Source organism: Homo sapiens, chromosome 1 (assembly GCF_000001405.40).
Source record: "Homo sapiens chromosome 1, GRCh38.p14 Primary Assembly".
In the NCBI taxonomy this organism is placed as follows: domain Eukaryota; kingdom Metazoa; phylum Chordata; class Mammalia; order Primates; family Hominidae; genus Homo; species Homo sapiens.
In genome coordinates, this window is record NC_000001.11 from 229,858,670 (window position 1) to 229,866,962 (window position 8,293).

Sequence of the window (8,293 nt, forward strand, 5' to 3'; positions counted from 1 at the left end):
TGAGCCCAGGAATTCAAGATTACAGGGAGTTATGATCACACCCCTGCTCTCCGGCCTGGGCAACAGGGCAAAAACTGTCTTTAAACAAAAGCCATCATAGGGTGCAGCAAACCACCACGGCACATTCTGCACATGTATCTCAGAACTTAAAGTATAATAATAATAAATAAAAAAGCCCATCATAAAAATCTCTTTATATAAGACGATCCCAATCTCCTCAAAAAGAGTTTCAATGTGCATGAAGGAGATGAATGGGAAGGAGCTATGAAGACGTCGTATCTAGAAAGCGAGAGAGCAGGGGGTCTTTCTGTCCTCAGATACTTTTCTCATCTCTAACGTGAGTACACATTCGATTTATAACAAAAATAAACACTGTAGAAAGGTCTTTGTTTTAAAGTCTGAAATATCAAAAGTATCCTTGTTTTTGAAATGTCACCCGCAGCAGGCCCTTCCTCCGCATCTGGTGCCTCTTTCATCTGCGTGTGGCTGTCAGAAGCAGGCCTTGTTTGAGGAATTCTTATGTAGCCAGCCTGGGGGTGTCCAGCCACCCAGGCCCTTTGCTGCATTGGCCACTGATGGTGAATTAATCCTCAGACTTGTGTTACTGGTGACAAACGATGATGTCACGTGTACATGGACACAATTTTAAGGGAGATCAGGCCCAGCACTCCCTTTCATCTTCCTCCAGCCCTTAGTGCCTCATGGGTGTCCTCAGTGGCAGTGGTACTGTCCCCAAGCTCCAGGCTATCTCCTGCTGCCTTTTCTGTTTGCTGTGCTTCTCGCTCTTTCCTGCGGCACCTTCTCGTCCACATATCTCCCCTGTGCTGTCCTCCCCTGACCACACAGGCCCAAGACAGAACTATACAGAAAAGAGCTCTGACTTCACCAAGCCCAACCATTTGTATTGCAAAGATAAAAGCAAAACAACTTACTTGGTTTCTGAGTCTAAAATATCTTTCTTTAGATCAATGGTTACTTTACAGCTTTCTCCAAGAACAATGGTGTTGGAGCCTTACTTGTTTAGGTTATTTTCTAGAATAAAGGAAGCATCAACATCTAATAGTCACTCACTAAGTCTCTGTAACACAGACAAGCCAAGGTCAAAGAGAATGCCATAACAATAACCACTTCTTAAGCAGTTCCTCGGTATCAGGCTAGATATTTCATAAAATTATCTCATTTTATCTTGTAATAAAGGAACATCACCTCCGTTTTCCAGATGAGCCCACCAAGCTTCTGGTGGTTAAGAAATTTGCCCCAGGTTATAAACTAGCCAATGGTAGAGGCAGGATTTTAACCCAGGGTCGTCTGCCCTCAACCTCAATCTTCCCCTGATGCCTCCTTACAATACTTAGCAGGATATTAGGGGTGAATGAAGAGCTTCTAGGCATGGCAACCACCAGAGACTTCTCTTCCCTGCCCTGCCAAGCTCTGAGGGCCTCCAAGGGTTAAGGAGCAGCCTCCCTTCATCACCTAGAGGGTCCCAGCATGCTGGAGCCCTTCCAAGTCTAGTAGCAGCCATGGAACGCCAAAAGAAGGGGAATGTTTCCCCTTGCCCCACTCATCCCATGTCTCAGCCTGGCACCTGGAAAGCAGAGCCTGGGACTAAATCTTATCACAGTACAAGCTGTGATCCCAGGGAGCAGAGCCAGAGAGGGGGCCTGACTGGGAAGAAGAGAAGGAGAGAAAGCCACACGGGGACACAGTCTCCATATGCCACAGCTATGGGCAGCTGAGGCTGCGTTCCCACGGGAGGCTGACACTGACCAGGGGTTGCAACGCCCTGTGCTTCTCTCTGTGTGTGTGTGTGTGTGTGTGTGTGTGTGTGTGTGTATGTGTGTGTGTGTAGAGGAGGTTCCCTGGGTCACTCCACTTCTCACCTCAAAGCAGCCCTGGGCAAGATAGGCCATGTGGGCCACCTATTTACACCTGCTGGAAGCCGGTTGAAGCTTGCACAGTAGCGGCTGGAGGAAGAGTGGGTCGCGAAGATTGGAATGGTGCACAGAGCTGCTGGCCACAGCCTCCCAGGTCCTGCCATAGAATCGTCTTTCTCCAGGACAGATTCAGCCTGGGTATCGGGCTAGATACTTCATAAAATTATCTCATTTTATCATGTAAGAAAGAGATATCATCTCCATTTTCCAGATGAGCCAACTGAGGTTCCAGGGGTTAAGAAATTTGCCCAAGATTATAAACTAGCCAATGGTAGAGGCAGGAGTTTAACCTAGGGGCCTCTGCCTTCAACCCCAATCTTATGCTGATGTCTCCTTACAGTATTTAGCAGGAGATTAAGGGATGTGCTCTTGCTTTAGAGAAAGCGTTGACTCTGTCTCCAGCCGAATGGTCACTTCTTCATCAGCCAACGTCCCGGCTGTTTTGTCTTAGATAACTCCACATATAGACCGTCAGGGCAGTCTAGGATGAATCAGCTCAGCTGGGGCCACTCCAGGCCCCCAGCTTTGGTTTCTGATTTGTTGGAGCAGCTGTTTGTGAAGGAACATTTTCATCTCCACCCAAACATACACTTGAAACTCTTTTTTTTTTTTAAATCAAATCAGCAAGGGCTGCAGAGTGACAACCCCACTTCGTCACCCCTCCACACCTGCTTCCCCAGACCCAACTCTCAGATTCTGACTTGTGGTTAATGGTCACTTGTTCATGTAGGGTGGGTTTCTTAGAACACAGGCACTATCAGCTCTTAAAGGGTGATTTGAGTCTCTACCTCTCAACTGCGTGCAGCATTAAGAAGCTTCTGCCAGCTTCATCTCAGTTTAAATGATCTTTGGTGTTTTACCCCGGCTTCCTACATAGTTATAGTGTAGAACACTTTCTTCTGGATTTAGCGATGGAACACAGCAACAAGGTCATGATTTGTCCAAATCTCAACGTTCATATTTATGTGATTAGATCTGAGGCTGTCATTATGCTGGTGCCATGAATATGGCCCCAGTAATACATTAGGCTTTGTGCCATGAACAGTCATTTTTTGAGTTCAGTTCATCCTCCCCTGTGGCAGGCAAGGAGGAGTGGGAGGTGAAAGGGGAGCAGGTTGTCACAAGCCTGTGAAGTTTCCCGAGACTAACGGGGCAGGGAGAAGAGATAATTCTTCCTCTGTCTTTCCCTCCCAGGTAAGGCAGGCTCCAGAGGCTCCCCTTGGGAAAGGGGTATCTGGGGTGCAGTGGACCTTCCTGTGCATATAGAGGTCCCACCAGCTACACAGAGAGTGCCCCAGCAGACTCTCTGGGCTGACTTTGGAAGGGCAAACCAAATTTTGCCAGCAGCTGCATTAAGCTGCTTGCACAGACCACTTTATTTTCCATGTAAGCTGGAATAATAGAAGTGGTTCCTTCCTTCTCTCTTTTTACATGTAAAATACTAATAGCTAAGACTTATTGAGTTGCTTATGCATGCCACAGGCTGTGAGACGTTTTGTGTGTTCGCTCATTCAAACCTCACCACCTCTGAGATGTGTCATTATCATCACCCCCAGTGTAACGGGGAGAAAGCTGAGGCCTGCTGAGGAAGGCCACGGCAGGGACTCCAGCTCAGGCAAGCCCGCCCTGAGCTCACTTCCCTCCCACCGATGTAAACTGCCCGGACAAAGCCTGTTTATTCTCTGAGTCTTCTTGTCTAAAACAAGACAGTCGATGTCGAAGGGGTCAGCTTCTCATGGCTAAGCTGGCCCTGCCTGAGAGAAGCAGGCAAAGGCAGAGTGGGAAGGGAAACATTTTAAAAACCCTCCTCTTTTTTTTTAACCAATTTACCATTTTAACCATTTTTTTTAACAGTCCAGTGACATTAAGTACTTTCTCGTTGTTACACGGCCTTCACCACATCCATCTTCCAGAACTCTGTCATCGTCCCAAACTGAAACTCTGTACTCCTTAAACACGAACTCCACATTCTCCCTCCCACAACCCTGGCAGCCACGATTCCACTTTCTGTCTCTATGAATTTGACTCTCTGGGTACCTCATATAAGTGAAATCATACTGTTACTTGTTCTTATGTGACTGGCTGATTTCACCGAGCATGATGTCCTGAGGTTTCACCCATGTTGCAGGAATCTCCTTCTTTTCTTTTTCTTTTTTCTTTCTTTTTTTTTTTTTTTATAGACAGAGTCTCACTCTGTTGCCCAGGCTGGAGTGCAATGGCATGATCTCTGTTCACTGCAACCTCTGCCTCCCAGGTTGAAGCTATTCTCCTGCCTCAGCCTCCCGAGTGGCTGGGACTACAAGTGTGTGCCACCACGCCCAGCTAATTTTTATATTTTTAGTAGAGATGTGGTTTTGCCATGTTGGCCAGGCTGATTTGGAACTCCTGACCTCAGGGGATCTGCCCGCCACAGCCTCCCAAAGTGCTGGGATTACAGGCGTGAGCCACCGCGCCCAGCCAGAATCTCCTTCTTTTTAAGGCTGAATAATGTTCCATTGTATGTGGAGCACGTATTGTTTGTTCCTTCTTTCACCAGTGGACACGTAGGTTACTCCTTCCTTTCACTATTGTGAATAGTGCTGCTGTGAACATGGGTGCACAAGTATCTCTTTGACACCCTGCTTTCAATTCTTTCAGGTGTATCCTCCGAAGTGGAATATACTCACATGGCAATTCTATTCTTAATTTTTTGAGAAACCACCATGTGATTTTCCACAATGGCTGCACCATTTTGCATTCCCACCAACAGGGTACAAAGGTTCCAGTTTCTCCATATCCTCACCAACACTTGTTGTTTTCTATTTTGTTTTGTTTATTATAATAGCCATCCTAATGGGTCTAAGGGTGGGTCCCATCACTTTTGAGTCCCATGTGGCCCACTATTGTAGAATGGGGCTTGCATTTGTAAAAATTTCTGTTTTTCAAATTAAAAATTAATAACCTACCATTTTCACTGATTTATACGTAAAGTCATGAGAGGATGTGATTGTCACATCACAGATGAGGAAACTGAGACTCAGAGAAATGAAGCGATTTCACTGCCTCTCAGACGTCCAAGATGAAAGAACATCTAAGAGGCAGTGGCGGGCCCAGCACCGGGACACTCGGGCCACCCTGGCAGGGCTTGTCACTACCTCCGTGCCAGGCAGGGGTCAGCCGTTTACTGAGTTGTCCCATCGATTCCTCACACCAGCCTGGGAAATTAAGCATTCACGCCCTCACTTTACAGGCTGGAAACAGAAAGGGAGGTTAGGAGGAGGTCAGCATCTCCCACAGGGAGGGCAGGGCCGGCTGGCTCCTCCAGCCCTGGTCCTAGGAGCACTTCCAAGGTTTCCTTCCCAGCTGAGATCCAGCTGCTCACTGAAAGTCAAGCAGGATAAAGAAAATCAAGTGTTACTCACTGAACAGCAGTGAGAAGCGTAAGGGACAAAGGAAGGCCACCGAGTCGGGAATATCCCACTGCTATTAGCCAGGTCTCAGTGGTCTGTCCCAGAGGGAAGAAATGTAACCTCTGAGTCTTGTTTTCTTCGTGTTCAAGCCAAGGAAGCCAGTTGCCCAACCTCCCAGGTGGCCCAGAGGATTTAATGTAAGTAGCCTAATACAGGACCTGGCTCAGGCAAACATTACTCTCCTTCTCCTTCCCCTTAACAGGGGCTGAGTCCTGGCCGTGTCTGCCCAACCCCAGACAGAAGCGGCATCCCAGCCTGGGAAGGGAGAAGGGCCACAGAGTGTGGACTCATGAGAGGATGATTTAGGGCCAGCAGCAGTGTTCTCGGTGTCATTTGGCATGCCACCATTAGTCAGCTTCCACCAAGTGCCAGGGCCCTATAAATAGCTGCAAGGGTGACATTGCTAAGGCTTCTGCCTTAGAAACTCTCTGCAAAGGACACTGGATCACCCAGGAAAGTGTATTTGTATTCTAGGCAGATATAGAAGTTATGCCACTGAAAATAAAGATTTTATGTATTTGTACATATCTATCCTATAAATAAAATTTATATCCACCTTCCGGGGGTCCAGTCCCACCAGCTCAGTCCTCATTTAATCTGTATGGTGGTTATTAACAGTGTCTGGGAACGAACTGCAGACCTCTCTGAAATATCATCCTTGTCAGTCCCAGGCCTTTCGAGCAGAGCGAGATCTCCTTACTGGGGAATTATGGCGTTCATATTAGCACGCCTGCTAAGAAATTCTTATGCTGCGATACACACTTCCCTGAAGTGTTTCATGGAAATTAGATTTCGGGAGAACAAAATCACAGAGGGCTCCAAGGCTGCAGGAGGCGGGGATCCCTCTTTGTTACCGGTTTGCCCAGTAATTAATTTCTTCCCCAGCTCAATTTGAAGGAAAAGATTGTGCTCATTAATTTATCGTCCACCTGTTCCTGAGGATTATTTTGATTGCTTTTTAACAGGAGACTTTGTATTCAGTAGGGAGATTTAATATCATCCCAAGAGCTGGCATCTGAGTGCAGCGAGCCATGTTATTCTGAGTGATTTCCACCCAAACAAAAACAAGCGCACTCGGTGACTTTCACAGCAAGGCCCTGTCATTCGAACCCTCTGTGCAGAATCTCACGGGGCACCTCCCTTGGTGCCCTCTGCCCTGCCTCGCTCCCTTCTGTGGAGTTTAGGAAGATATTTTGGGGTATCTGGCTCATCCCATATCCCCTTGAGAGGTGACAGCGTGCTGGCAGTCCTCACAGCCCTCGCTCGCTCTCGGCGCCTCCTCTGCCTGGGTTCCCACTTTGGCGGCACTTGAGGAGCCCTTCGGCCCGCCGCTGCACTGTGGGAGCCCGTTTCTGGGCCGGCCAAGGCCAGAGCTGGCTCCCTCAGCTTGCAGGGAGGTGTGGAGGGAGAGGCGCGAGCAGGAACTGGGGTTGTGCGCGGCGCTTGCCGGCCAGCTGGAGTTCTGGGTGGGGTGGCTTGGCGGGCCCCGCACTCGGAGCGGCCGGCCGGCCCTGCGGCCCCGGGCTGTGAGGGGCTTAGCACCCGGGCCAGTGGCTGCGGAGGGTGTACTGGGTCCCCCAGCAGTGCCAGCCTGCCGGCGCTGCGCTCGATTTCTCACCGGGCCTTAGCTGCCTTCCCACGGGGCAGGGCTCGGGACCTGCAGCCCGCCATGCCTGAGCCTCCCACCCACTCCATGGGCTCCTGTGCGGCCCGAGCTTCCCCGACGAGCACCACCCTCTATTCCACGGTGCCCAGTCCCATCGACCACCCAAGGGCTGAGGAATGCGAGCGCACGGCGCAGGACTGGCAGGCAGCTCCACCCGCAGCCCTGGTGCGGGATCCACTGGGTGAAGCCAGCTGGGCTCCTGAGTCTGGTGGGGACGTGGAGAGTCTTTACATGTAGCTCAGGGATTGTAAATACACCAATCAGCACCCTGTGTTTAGCTCAAGGTTTGTGAGTGCACCAATCGACACTCTGTATCTAGCTGCTCTGGTGAGGACGTGGAGAACCTTTATGTCTAGCTCAAGGATTGTAAATACACCAATCGGCACTCTGTATCTAGCTCAAGGTTTGTAAACACACCAATCAGCACCCTGTGTTTAGCTCAAGGTTTGTGAATGCACCAATCGACACTCTGTATCTAGCTGCTCTGGTGGGGCCTTGGAGAACCTGTGTGTCGAAACTCTGTATCTAACTAATCTGATGGGGACGTGGAGAACCTTTGTATCTAGCTCAGGGATTGTAAACACACCAATCAGCACCCTGACAAAACAGGCCACTCGGCTCTACCAATCAGCAGGATGTGGGTGGGGCCAGGTAAGAGAATAAAAGCGGGTTGCCGGAGCCAGCATTGGCAACCCTCTTGGGTCCCCTTCCACACCGTGGAAGCTTTGTTCTTTCGCTCTTTGCAATAAATCTTGCTACTGCTCACTCTTCGGGTCCACGCTGCTTTTATGAGCTGTAACACTCACGGCGAAGATCTGCAGCTTCACTCCTGAGCCCAGCAAGACCATGAGCCCACCGGGAGGAATGAACAACTCCAGACGTGCTACCTTAAGAGCTGTAACACTCACTGTGAAGGTCTGCAGCTTCACTCCTGAGCCAGCGAGACCACGAACCCACCAGAAGGAAGAAACTCCCAACACATCTGAACATCAGAAGGGACAGACTCCAGACGCGCCACCTTAAGAGCTGTTAACACTCACCGTGAGGGTCTGCGGCTTCATTCTTGAAGTCAGTGAGAGCAAGAACCCACCAATTCCGGACACACCCTGTTTCCCCCACCCCTCTTTTGTACCAAAGACACGTGAGTCATAAACATCTAGAATGTTTTGTAAAAGAACCAGGCCAGGCTGGGCAGGGTGGCTCATGCCTGTAATCTCAGCATTTTAGGAGGCTGAGGTGGGCGG

The 8,293-nt window shown here is 49.5% G+C and overlaps 1 long non-coding RNA gene across 1 annotated transcript in view; it reads right to left on the reverse strand.

Annotated features, from left to right (window-relative positions):
• Nucleotides 1-8,293, reverse strand: part of LOC105373162 (uncharacterized) — a 31,087-nt gene extending 22,794 nt beyond the window's left edge. The window contains exon 1 of the long non-coding RNA XR_001737830.1: nt 8,090-8,293. This is a non-coding gene — a long non-coding RNA (uncharacterized LOC105373162). The remainder of the gene's footprint in view (nt 1-8,089) is intronic.